This window comes from Homo sapiens, chromosome 1 (genome assembly GCF_000001405.40).
Source record: "Homo sapiens chromosome 1, GRCh38.p14 Primary Assembly".
Lineage (NCBI taxonomy): Eukaryota > Metazoa > Chordata > Mammalia > Primates > Hominidae > Homo > Homo sapiens.
Window position 1 is genome coordinate 214,479,545 of NC_000001.11, and position 13,752 is coordinate 214,493,296.

Consider the following 13,752-nt stretch of genomic DNA (forward strand, 5'->3'; position numbering starts at 1 on the left):
GGCCAGGCTGGTCTCAAACTCCTGACCTCAGTTCATCTACCACCTCAGCCTCCCAAATTGCTGAGATTACAGGCGTCAGCCACCGTACCCGACCCTGTCTTTATTATCCAAAAAAAACAAACAAAAAAAGACTTATTAAAACAGCTTATGTCCTGAAATTTATTCTTTTGAATTATTAGGGTTAGAAAGCTCAGTCGTTTTCTATTTTACCTAAATATTTTAATAACCTTTAATATTTTCTGATTATAATTCATTATAAGAATATTGGAAATGACAGAAAACTAAAAGAAAAAAATCACCCACGTCACCACCCACAGAGGACCAATATTAAAATGTTTGCATATTTTATTTCATCATTTTAATTATGTTTAATTTATTGTGTAACTGAGATTGTACCATCTTATTTGATATCTTTCATTATTTATGATTACTATGTATTATTTTCTCATGCTATTAAAATTTTTTCAAAAACAATTTTAAACTGTTGCATAATATTCCAGTGTATGGATCACCATTTATTTAACCATTTGCTATTGTTGACAACTTAGGTTGGTTCTAATTTTTTGCTATTTTTCAAAAAGAGTTCCCTATACTTCTGATTCTTTCATTGGAATAGATTCTTCAAGACTGTTATTGAGTCAAAAACTACATATTTTTAGAAGTCTCTTATTGCATACTCCTAAATTGCTTCCCAAATAACTGTTAAATGCAGAGGCTATCACAAATGACTATGATTTCCATTTCTTCACTTATAAGATGACTGAAACAATATGTTTTCTTAACCACTTCCATAAAAAGAAAAGACCCACGCTTGGAGTCAAAAGAACCAAGTTCTTGCTATAGCTTTTTTCTCTTACTGGGTTACCTTAAGCATGATTCCTCAAGATGGCAGAAAAGCTTTAGTAAAGGAGAATATTGATCCCAAAAGGGATACCTCAAAGTCTCAATGTCTTCATGTGACAGGAAGTCTAAGAAGCAGAAAGCCTCCCAAAATCCAGTCTGTAACAAATAGGTGAACTGTGAATCTTAGGCATGGCCCTGGGTATGATCAACCATCAAAAATATCAACAATCCTATCTCTCAATAGCTACAGTGCCATGTCACAGCACCTCAACCTCGGAAGCAGATCTAAGGATAGCTTTTGAAAAATGTAATACTGTTGCCCCCCACCAAGTGTTAACTACAGAAACATTACTTGGCCCAAACATCAAATGACTGTACTCCCTTATATTTATATATCATTTTCTCAAAAACCATTATTCCCACAGCACATAATATTGATCTCAATATTCCCCAAAGAACAAGAAAAGGCACCCTCTCTGCCTACCAAGTCGTATGAAGTGATAGGTAAGGATATGAATAGAGCAGCAGATATGCTGGGCGGCTGGGAAGAGAAGAGCCCACACAGAGGCAAGGGCGAGAAAGAAACAAGCAGCAGATGAAAATTTGCAACCATCCACACACTGTTCTAGGGCTCAGGATAATCTACAAAACGTGTCAAGTAAAAAAGGAGAAAAGGAGATGACAAGGGTACATAATGGCTCAAAGAGAAAATAAGAACTTCAAGTAAGATTTTTTTGTGTAAAGATTATATCCAATCTCACTTTATTTCACATAAATGCAACATTTGAAACAGAAGCAACTGCAGGGTCAAACAAATGCAGCACAAGAATAAAAACTGCCGGGCGCAGTGGCTCACGCCTATAATCCCCAGCACTTTGGGAGGCCAAGGTGGGCAGATCATCTGAGGTCAGGAGTTCGAGACCACCATGGCCAACATGGTGAAACCCCATCTCTACTAAAAATACAAAAAAAATTTAGCTGGGCGTGGTGGCATGCGCCTGTAGTCCCAGCTACTTGGGAGGCTGAGGCAGGAGAATTGCTCGAACCTGGGAGGCCAAGGTTGCTGTGAGCCAAGATGGCACCATTGCACTCCAGCCTGGGAAACAAGCGCGAAACTCCCGCTCAAAAAAAAAAAAAAAAAAAAGAATAGAAATTAAAATATTCTAGTTATCTATTACATATGATTTTTGAAAACTGTCTCATTTACACAGACACTGGAGCCTTATGAAGTCATCAGTTTTCTCAAGAGTACTGCTGCTCTGAAGTAAGATTGGTAAACAAGGATTCCAATACAGACATTAAAATAGGCAAGAATGAGCTAGGCGCGGTGGCTCACGCCTGTAATTCCAACACTTTGGGAGGCCGAGGCAGGTGGATCATGAGGTCAGGAGATCAAGATCATCCTGGCTAACACAGTGAAACCCCATCTCTACTAAAAATACAAAAAAAATTAGCTGGGCATGGTGGCGGGCACCTGTAGTCCCAGCTACTTGGGAGGCTGAGGCAGGAGAATGGCGTGAACCCAGGAGGCAGAGCTTGCAGCGAGCCCAGATCACGCCACTGCACTCCAGCCTGGGTGACAGAGCGAGAGTCTGTCTCCAAAAAAAAAAAAAAAGGCAAGAATGAAGACTTCTTGCTATTACCTGTGCATGGATACTCTCAAGACACTCAAGACAAAATGAACTGATTTGGACACACAAAAAAAGTAATGGTGCTTAGTCATTTATTAGCTAAATTAGAACCTGTAGGTGATGCTAAACACTATCAAATAAAAATTATTCAAGGTGACCATCCCTTGATAGCTCATTCCAGTAACAACTTTTTTTTTTTTTAGTGATAAAATATACTTTTATTTACTTTGTTGAGTCAGAGGGTTGTAAAAAAAATTATTGCTAAAGTAGATATCAGGCAAACAGAAAGGTGCTTTAGAAGTCCAGTTACCTTGGAGTTTATTTAAACTAAGAGAAAAAAGTCATAATGTTTTCATGCAATACATACTTGGTTCTTTAAATAACAATTGTGTGACAAATAGCAGAAGGAATTAAGGAATGCTGCACTTGTGATCCATACAAAACACCAACATTTTAGGTTGCACATAATTAAAGAAATATCTGAAACACTTTTTAAAACACTGTAGTAGCCAATACATAGAGGCATGCCGTAGATGGGCACCCGAATGCAGTTTAGAAAAGAAAAAAAAAAAATCACATAGAAACTACTCAATTTCTTTAAAATCACTGAGCAAGAAAAGCAACGTTGAACTTTCATACTGATTTTACACAACTTCTATATAGTACCTTGACTTAAATCCAAGAGCAAAAGTTAAGACTCTCCTCCTCTATTTTTGGTAAACAACTGCATGGTAAACTTAGATGACTCTTCCCCCTGGATTTTACCTGGGAGTGGCCTTTTTACATTTTTATTTAAAAGAGGACAGGTTTGGCACTTTTATACTGATGTCACCAATGTTAATATTTCTTGGGATCTCAGGAAGATTCATATTCTTTACAGCTGATACAGCACAGGCTGGAGCTCCCACTAAGCCACCCTCAGATTTTTCCAGCTTACTTTGTGCATCAATTTGTGTAACAATCTCATTCATGTTTGTCTCCAATACCATTCCCCCCATACTATTTCTGCAAGAATACTGTGAACCTTGTCTACATGGAAAATCAAATCCAGTTCACAGACATTTTCAAAACATTTGTCTAATGTTTCCACAAATACTTGAATGACATCTAAAATGCCAAGTTCACTTTCTGAAGAATCTACACAGAAGACAAAATATAACGTTGTGTAATGTCTATAAATCAGTTTGTTGTCAGATCCTCCAATTAATAATCCCCCTTCTAGGAAATTACAAACATTTTCATCTCTCTTAGATACCAAATGGAAAGTCTCCCTGATGATTTGCTGTTGTGTATCTTCACTGTAGGGGCGGTAGAACTTGGAGAGCCGCGGCTTCCCGTGGTTGTTGAAGATTAGGATCGCCTTGATCATGGCTGTGCCAGGCCGACCGGGTGGGCACTGGTGGCCAGGGCGGGAGCGGGCGCACAAGCCTCGCCTAGTAATCTTGCCTGCGACCCTTCCCCACCCGCCTCCAGTTAACAACTTTCACTGTCTTGAAGTTTCTTCTTTGTAAAATATACTTACTCTACTGCTATTTTTATACTCTGTTATGCTATTTACAGACTCTACTGCTAATTTAATCTATTTCCTCTTGAAGTCTTTCATTTTAAAAGGGCAACTGGGTGCCATCTTCTCTACACTGCACCTTTATATATTTAACTCTCATTATGACACTCACTCCCTCATATACTCCGATATAAATAATCCTACCTTTCTTACTTTTTCTTTTTAGGTATTATTTCTTCACCTTTTAATTATCTCAGTGGTTCTCCCTTAACTCTAAATTCTCCTTGTCTTCTTAAGTTATAGCACTAAAATGAAACAAATTACCTTTACCACCTAACTCATAGAGATGGGCTTATTTAACAGAAAACACAGAGCAGGCCAGTTGGATTTTCCCATAAAATCTGCATTTGAAAGAAAAGAGTTCTCACCAGAGAAAGACCCTTTCATCTCCAAAAGATAAGCATGTTATCATTTGTATCCAATAATAAAGAATAGGACAAAAGGAAAAAGAAATCGTAGAATGGGTCTAGAAAATATAGGTGTATTTAGTTCCTTGCCTGGCATGGTTATTTTAATCCAGTCAATCATTAGGAATTTGGTGTTGGATGTGGTGGCTCATGCCTGTAATCCCAGCACTTCAGGAAGCCAAGGCATGAGGATCTCTTGAGCCCAGGAGTTCAAGACCAGCCTGATCAACACAGTATCACCTAGTCTCTATAAAAAATTAAAAAATTAGCCAGGCATGGCAGCACACACCTGTGGTCCTAGCTCCTCAGGAAGCTGGGGCAAGAGAATAGCTTGTATCTGGGAGATCAAGGCTGCAATGAGCCATGATCCTATGATTGCATTACTGCACTAAGCCTAGGTGACAGAGTGAGACCCTATCTCTTTAAAAAATAATAAATAAACATGAATTTGGAATTAGAAGTTAGGAGATGGCTGAGTTAAAGTGGTAAAATGCAGGTGTTCCCATTTTTTCCCCAACTGAAAAATCGCTTCAAATCATTGAGAAAACAAGATACAGATGCAAAGAGTTCCATGTTTGATGAAACAAGGGGGTTTCAGAAACCCCCCCAACACAACATATAAATACAGAAGGTAAAAACCTGGCAGAGAAAGCTAAACTTGCTGTCTGTACACTTAACTTTAGAGACACAAGGTACCAGGTGTTTTGTTTTGCGAGGGAAATGGGTAGGTTATGGGTAGGGAAGGACTTGAAAATAGGAGACTTGTTTGAATGTCTTTATTCCTCTCCATGCAGATGGGAACAGAAGGTCATTAAAGGTCTCCAAGAGGGATGTCTTCAGGGGAAGCAAAAGTGCGAGGTGCTGAGATTATCTGAAAAGGTTGGACAATGTGGAAAGTTATACAAGAGGCGTTTGTTTCACAAAGCAGTTGGAGGTGTGTGGGAAGACTTAGATGTTCAAGGAAAACCAAGAGAATGAAAAGGTTAGGCATTTTCTCAAGGAAAAACAAAAATGTGTTCAACAAAGAAAATGCCATCTCAACACCACACTTGTCTTAGCAGTAAACAATAATCACTTATTCATATCGAATAGAAAGCATTGAGCTGAGTCTAACCAGATTATTAGTGCTGCTAATTATCCTGGAAGGACAGTGGAGGAGAAGATGGAGCATAAATGAGATTAAATCATTTATCACCCACCACCACCACCATCCTAGCTAACATTATTGAGCACTTACTGTGTTTCGTATTTTTATTCTGAGCACTTATAAGTGAGCCTCGTATCTCTCCCAGGAAGCTGCCACAAGACAAAAAGCACCGTGAAGCATTCTAGACTCAAAACAGAGGAATGCTTCTAGCGGAAGGAAGGATCCCCTTGACTGCATTGAAGGAAGCTTTGGAATTCTTTCAGAAAGGGGAACAAGAGGAGCATTTCATTCAATTTTGGGAAATCTGTGATAACCACCGGGATCAAGTCCTCATTAGACAAGTGGTATGAAATTCTCCTTCCTGTAATTGCTGAGAACAGATGAATATGGAAGAGCTAATGGACTCTGAGCTGGCAGAAGTGGACCTACAGGTAAATTCAAAGTACAACTGACCTAGACTTCCAACTCCTCACCTCCAACCACTGAGTAATACAGAGGCGAATGTAACCACAGACATGGAGAGTTTCTGTACTGCGCCTAAATGCATGAAGAGGAACCACCACAGGGCTGAAGACATCTAGTCTTTTATATTTCTTTTTTTTTTTTTGAGACGGAGTCTCGCTCTGTCGCCCAGGCCAGAGTGCAGTGGCGCGATCTCAGCTCACTGCAAGCTCCGCCTCCCGGGTTCACGCCATTCTCCTACCTCAGCCTCCCGAGTAGCTGGGACTACAGGCGCCCGCCGCCACACCCAGCTAATTTTTTGTATTTTTTAGTAGAGACGGGGTTTCACCATGTTAGCCAGGATGGTCTCGATCTCCTGACCTCGTGATCCGCCCGCCTTGGCCTCTCAAAGTATTGGGATTACAGGCGTGAGCCACCGCACCCGGCCTAGTCTTTTATATTTCATTGGTGAGTCCTTGTTCACAGATATCCACAGGTGCTGGCACTTAAAATGATCAGAATTACTCTGCAGGCAGGGGTAGAGGGAGGGGTGTTAATAAGTTATCATCAATAAATGTTCATGTCCCAAAACCATACCCTAATTTAACCAAAAATCATAGTTACCATCTATGGAGCACTTCCTCCATACTAAACTGTACATATGTTATCTCTCATACTCATGTCATCAACTCTGTAGAGGCATTATCCTCAGTCTACAGAACAGTAAATCAAACTTTACAGAGTCTAAGTAACTTACCTGAGATACACTAGCTAGTGATGGAGCTCATACTGTCTCCATTAGGCTACATGGTCTCCCATCTTCCAGAATATCTTAAAGTATGAGCCTTTATTGTGATTTTTCCTTAGATTCTAGTGGGATACAGCAAAGTAAGTCTCTCCCAATGGAAATATAACTTACAGCTCACCGCCTGCTGACAGTGTTGTATAAAACTACTTACCACATTAGAGAAATAGATTCTTCGGAGTACTTAGGGTTGGGACAATAGGAACAAAGTTGCTAGACTACCCAGGGCCCAGAACAAAACGGAAAAAAACTGAGATGAGAGGCAATGGGAGGCTAGAAATCAGGGTCTTGACCCAATGTATGTGTTTGCTGGAGGCACACACCCAGGGGCATTTGCTAAGCATTGTTCCCCTTCTGTTTGAAAAACAAAAACAACCTCCCTGAACCCTCTCCCATTCCCCCTAGTAGTGAACATAGGCCAAACTCAATACTGCAGTGAAAAAAATAAATCAAAACATGCCAAAGTTCTCAGATGTTTACATGGCATATCCCATGCTTTAACTCTGGTACATCTCCGTAAATCTGGAAAAGTTGACCCCGTCACCCAGATGCATCAACCTTCAGCTATTCACATTAATTTATGCGCTTTGATCAGATCCCCAAAGCATCTATTTTTTTTTTCATTCTACCACAAAATAATAAATACTGGAAAAAAATCTGTATGCTTTTATATTTTCACAGGTAAGTGCAGAAATGAACTGCATTGCATCCACTTCTTTTAACCCAATTCCTATACTAAAACAAATTCAAGTAAAATATGCCTATTTTTCAAAGCACAATCCTAAAGTCACTAATTCATGGGTAGTTCACATATGACTAGAGAAAGAAAAGGAGAAGGAAAGACAGGAATTAAAGTGAAAGACAGGAATTAAAGTGAAGGAAGGAGGAGGAGGCAGGGAACACCTTATGAGAGATCAGCCAGACTAGAATTAAAGAAGGTGCATCAAAGACTATTACATCCAGCTGGGTGCGGTGGCTCATGCCTGTAATCCCAGCATGTTGGGAGGCTGAGGTGGGCAGATCAGCTGAGGTCAGGAGTTCGAGACCAGCCTGGCCAACACGGTGAAACCCCGTCTCTGCTAAAAATACAAAAGTTAGCCAGGCATAGTGGCATGTGCCTGTAATCCCAGTTGCTCAGGAGGCTGAGGCAGGAGAATCACTTGAACCCTTGAACCCAGGAAGGAGAGGTTGCAACAAGCAGAGATCACGCCACTGCACTCCAGCCTGGGAGACAGAGCAAGACTCCGTCTCAAAAAAAAAAAAACGACTGTTACATCCAATTAGAAGAGCAACAGGGCAAAAAAGCTCCATCAATATATACTTTGCAATTAGTCTGTGAAGAAGGTTTGAAAGCACTTTGTTGAGAGCTAACATGTTAAGCAGTGACCTAAAAGATGAAAGATAAGCTGGCTGGGTTGTAAGGCCCCTTCTCTAACACACCTGGGAAGAAGAGGTAGATGCTGTCCATATGATCTTGGGCCAATGGCAACATAAATAGCTGCATTTGAGAGAGAAGGAGGACCAAGCATTACAGGATCGCTTTCCTGGAGATGCTATGACATTCCTCCAACATTGCAGTCATGTTAGCAAGAGCAGACAGATGCAGTGCAGAGTTGGGACCTAAAGTCCACATCTAAAACACTGTAGCCATTCAGCCCAAAGACCTTACCCTATAACAACAGTGAATGGCACAAGGGAGAAAGCAAGGGTCCTATACACCATACAACACAGAAGCCAACCTTTTAAACATTAAGAGCGTCTCCACCCAAACTTGAATGAAATTTTGTACTGAGCACAGATAATCTTCTACTTGTACTTATGGGCCAAGAAAAGTAAGTTAAATTTGTTAAATTAAGATTATGTTTCACAGTAATTTGAGCCACATTTTTAATAGAAATTGATTATTACAAATATTTATCACGTACCTTGTAGGGGCCAGGCACTACACTAGACAATAGGGATAAAACTGTTTAAGACAGACACAGCTGTGCTGCTCTCACAAAGCCCACCTACCATAAAACACTTTAATCATCCCCAAAACAACTCTCTGTACAGGCACACAAAAGAATCAAAATCACTAAAGCATCTAAGCAGGGCAATATCAGAGCTGAGCACATAAAACCCATGTAAAAGGAATGAAATAGCATGCTGTCATAAGTCTTATCTTTTTCTTAACAATATCTGCCCTTTGTAAAATGCCAAATACCAGAACATTCAGGAGCATCATTAACTTTCACCCATTTTCACTGAGCAACTGAAAGGCGTCAGACACTGTGGATCTAAAGATGAGTACAACCTGGCTTTTGTCTTCAGAAAGCTCATAATCTAGTGGGGATGAATTCTTCAGGATCACAGAGGGCAAATGGCCTTCTCTGGAAAGAGGTTTTTGACAGCTGTGCTTAAGAAGATTTTTGCAAAAGTGACACTGTAATATTATTGCCTTTTCCTCAATACAAATTTTCCCATCACAAGCACAGACATCAGAAAAGGCTCTTGACCTCTCTGCTATGTTGCAATACATTTCATCAAAATGAACTTGTCACCGCTTCTCGAAATATGAAATTCTCTCTATCCTTCCACCCAGCATTCAAAGACATCAGAATTTCCACTAGTTCATGGTGTAGCTAAGGCTGCATCGAAAGACAACATAAGGTGGTTTGAGAAAGGTCCTTTAAGATCTGGGCCTTGACTACCTAAATAATGAGGAAAAGGAAGATAGTGACAATAATGATGGTGATTAGTAACCGCAGCTTCAAAGGACTGAGCATTTATGATGTGTCAAGCATGGTGTTAAGCATTTTCAGTTTGTTATATCATTTGGCCCTCATAACAGTACTGAGGTAAGTATATTACTTATCCTCATGTTATGGGTGACGAAACTGAGGCTTGCGGAGGTTGAGATTTTGCTCAAGGACACAAAGCCAGGAAGTGGCAGAGCCAAACCCAAAACCGTATCCATCTGTACCATGCCCTCTCCCCTTGCCCACCCTTTTCCCATATGCGCCAGTCACCTGCAAAGAGCAGGAACCATGGAACCACCATACCGTTTCTAATCTCCAAGCCTTTGAGTATTATTGCTTCTGAGAGGCCACACTTCCCAATTTTCATCCAGTCAACTCCTATTTGTCTTTCAGAACGCGTTTGGAGTCAACCTTCCAGGAAAGTTCTCTAAATTGCCCCTCTCTAAGGTTTGATGCCTCATCTCTGGATTTGCTTAGCCCTGGACATAGACTCCCTCTCTCCCAGCACTTGTCCCACTGTGCCATGCAGTCATGAGCTGCTCAAGGTCATGGATCATTTTATATTCAACTCTGCAGCTCCAGAGCCTCGTAGGGTACTTACTAGCAGCAGGCATCACATCACTGTGTTGGCTGACTGAACAAATGCATGAGAAAGAGAACTGAAGTTAAGGACTTATTCTAGGATGGTCTCTCTGGAGCTAGAGATGCCTGAATTCAAGTCCTGACTCCACCTCTTATCAACTGGCCAATTTATTTAACCTCTCTAAGCCTCAGTGTCTCGTCTATAAAATAAAGGCTAACAGTAGCATCTAGCTCTAAAGTCTCTTCTGAGAGTTTAGATTTTGCAGCTTAGCTCGGTAAGTGACACATATGTTAATAAATGTTAGTTACTAGTAATAAAGTATAGGCCAAAGCCAATCCTCTTATAATAAACCACTTTGCCCTTGGTTCCCAGCTTTGCTTTTTCCTCCAATCCCAAGGCTTTGAGCAAGTACAAAGTCACTCCTCTTACAATGAGGCAATGGGGTGGTGGAATCACTTCGTCAACCAACCCAAGTCCCTTCCAGAGCTAGATATTTAAGGATCCTTTAGGTTTTTCCACAAAGTTACAAGGGGGAAATGTTTCACATATAACCTTGAAATAAATCTTTTCTCCCAAAATAAGCATTTCCCTGGGAATTGATACCCCAGCTGAGAATAAAGCAGCTGTTGCTGTTAACATTTACCTCTGACAGAGCACTATTAATTGTATCATGTTGATCATCAGATCACAGTAAAACTGTATAGTTAAAAATCATATTGTTTCATGTCATATTCAACAAAGCATCTTTGGCTATAAATAGGACAAACGAGTGTCTCTCATTGTGTATGCATAAATGAGAATACTGTGGAAGATGTTAGAATTCACAGTTATATTTGTGTTCCTTTAAGAAACACAAATTGTGGCTCACACCTGTAATCTCAATACTTTGGGAGGCCAAGGCTGGCAGATCATTTGAGGGCAGAAGTTCACGACCAGCCTAGCCAACATGGTGAAACCCTGTTTCTACTAAAAATACAAAAGTTAGCCAGGCGTGGTGGTGCGCGCCTGTAATCCCAGCTACTTCGGAGGCTACAGCAGAAGAATCACTTGAACCCGGGAGGTGGAGGTTGCAGTGAGCCGAGATTGCGCCACTGCACTCCAGCCTGGGTGACAGAGCGAGACGGAAGGGAAAGGAAAGGAAAGGAAGGGAAGGGAGGGGAGGGGAGGGGAGGGGAGGGAAGGGGAGGGGAGGGAAGGGGAAGGAAGGGAAGGAAAGAAAGGAAGGAAAGAAAGAAAGAAAAGAAAGAAAGGAAGGAAGGAAGGGAAGGAAAGGAAGGAAGGAAGGGAAGGAAAGGAAAGAAAGGAAGAAAGGAAGAAAGGAAGGAAGGAAGAAAGAAAGAAAGAAAGAAAAACAAAGAAAGAAAGAAAGAGAAAGAAAGAAAGACAAATTGCTTAATATGGCATAACCCCCTACCCAGTGGCATGGGCAAGATTTTTTAAATTATATTTTCTTTAATATGATTTTTAAATCCATAGATGATAGTAATGATGTAGGACTGAGAATGGTCTGGTAAAACTCTAAACCCAAACTTCATTTTATATGCTCTCACAATGCTGCAATGTAATGTTAGTTCACAGGTAAAACTGCTGTGTATGAGCTCTATCTACAGCGGCTGTGGGCTGCCTGTTCTGCCAGGGTATTCCAACTTTTATTCACTGGTCGATAAAGCAGAGGTCCCCAACCTTTTTGACACTAGGGACTGGTTTGAAGGAAGACAATCCTTCCACAAATGGGAGTGGGGAGCGATGGTTTTGGAATAAAACCGTTGGACCTCAGATCATCAGACATGAGTTAAATTCTCATAAGGAGTGTGCAATCTAGATCCCTGGCTTGAGCTGTTCACGATAGGGTTCCTTCTCCTATGAGAATCAACTGCTGCTGTGGATCCAACAGGAGGCAGAGCTCAGGCAGTACTCACCTCCTCCTGTGATGCCAGTTCCTAACAGGCCAGGGACTGGTACTGGTCTGGGACCCCTGTGATAAAGCACAACTGGATGGCCCTCTAGGCTTACAATGAAAAACTGCAGCACTTAGAAAGCTGGATTTGGAAGGAGACTAAAGGACAAGACAGGAACACAAGACTTGGGGAAATCTTTCCCCAAGTCTAGTTCATCTGGGTCACCTGCCAGAGCAAACGTCCACCTGCTTCCTTCCATTCTTTTCTTTTCTATCCTCCCCCTCAAAAGCAGTTTAGTTACTACACTCGATCTTGGTTTAAAGACCCAGGTGTCATATCTCACAAATACAGCACTTACAGTCACATCTAGATTACTCAGTCTATTCTTAAACCCTGACTTGTCGCTTCCATTTTCAGGCTGCCCATCCTCATTTCAAATAGAGGATTTTCTTTTTCTACTCCATTCTCTACTTATTTCCATTTTGGGATGAGATTTTATTTTAAAATATGATATTCATTAATTCATTTAATGAAGACACATTTACTAAAGGAACCTATCAAATGCAGGATACTGTGTTTAAAAAAAAAAAGAAAAAGAAAAACTTCGGGAGAATATAATAATGAGTAAAAGATCATCCCTGCCCCCCAAAAGGCAGAAGAAATAAGCAGACATGTCCACAACCATGTAGCTATCACTTAGGAGATAAGATGGCCCCTAGGAAAATCAGTTTGGGCCTCTGGCATCTGCAGATTCAGCATCTGTAAATTCAACCCCAAAGGTCCATAAATAATGAGTTACAAACCTGTAGAGACACACATATAACACTGATTTAATTTTAATGGCACAATTCATTTAAATGCCTTTATAAATAATTTTAGCTTTGCATGACCCTAAGGAGAATCAGATTAAAGTTTTGTGTATACGTTGGGACATTTGATGATGACAGAGTGTAACAATGGTATCATCAAATGAGGCATTCCTTGCTGGTGCCGCATGCCTGGCTACAAAGAATGTGTTGTCGGCCGGGCATGGTGGCTCAGACCTGTAATCCAAGCCCTTTGGGAGGCCATGGCAGGTGGATCACTTGAGGCCAGGAGTTTGATACCAGCCTGGCCAACATGGCAAAACCCCGTCTCGATTAAAGATACAAAAATTAGCTGGGGGTGGTGGTGCATGCCTGTAATCCTAGCTACCCAGGAGGCTGAGGCACGAGAATTGCAAGGCAGAGGTTGCAGTGAGCCAAGATCACACTACAGCATTCCAGCCCGGGCAAGAGAACAAGAATCTGTCTCAAAGAAAAAAAAAAAAAAAAGAATGCGGCAGAATTCACAACACATAGCAGGAGGGTATGAGGGTATGAGAAAGGTGCCATTAAGGAAACTGAGCTAAGGCTTTATTTATGTCTAGCAGGATTCCAACAGGCAGTGGTGGTGACTGTTTTCAGAGGGGGGATGATCATTCCCAGTGTTTCTAATTCCTAAGTGGGAAAGCAAGACATGTTCGGAGGTCAGAAGGCCCAAATTGGGCTGGCTGCAGGGCAGAGGGGTCCTGGGTGCGAGGAAGCCTCAGAACGGACTGCCTACGAGGTTCTGACTGGGGACAGCTGCAAGTGAAGCCAATGGTCAGAGTGATGGCCTGGGCGATGTGTTGGAAACAGGAACTTCTGATCAAGAACCTGCAGGTGGAAGGGC

At 41.2% G+C, this 13,752-nt stretch overlaps 1 protein-coding gene and 1 pseudogene across 5 annotated transcripts in view, besides 1 other annotated feature; both read right to left on the reverse strand.

Moving 5' to 3' along the window:
* PTPN14 (protein tyrosine phosphatase non-receptor type 14) overlaps positions 1-13,752 on the reverse strand; it is a 202,903-nt gene that overhangs the window by 130,845 nt on the left and 58,306 nt on the right. The window lies entirely within an intron of this gene.
* Positions 2,675-3,935, reverse strand: AP3S1P2 (AP3S1 pseudogene 2; annotated as a pseudogene).
* Positions 4,037-4,745: an enhancer, noted in NCBI's record as "NANOG-H3K4me1 hESC enhancer chr1:214656924-214657632 (GRCh37/hg19 assembly coordinates)". NCBI's record gives its function as "activates a minimal SCP1, AML or CMV promoter by ChIP-STARR-seq in naive H9 embryonic stem cells {active_cell/tissue: H9 hESC(naive)}" and the evidence as "EXISTENCE:reporter gene assay evidence [ECO:0000049][PMID:30033119]".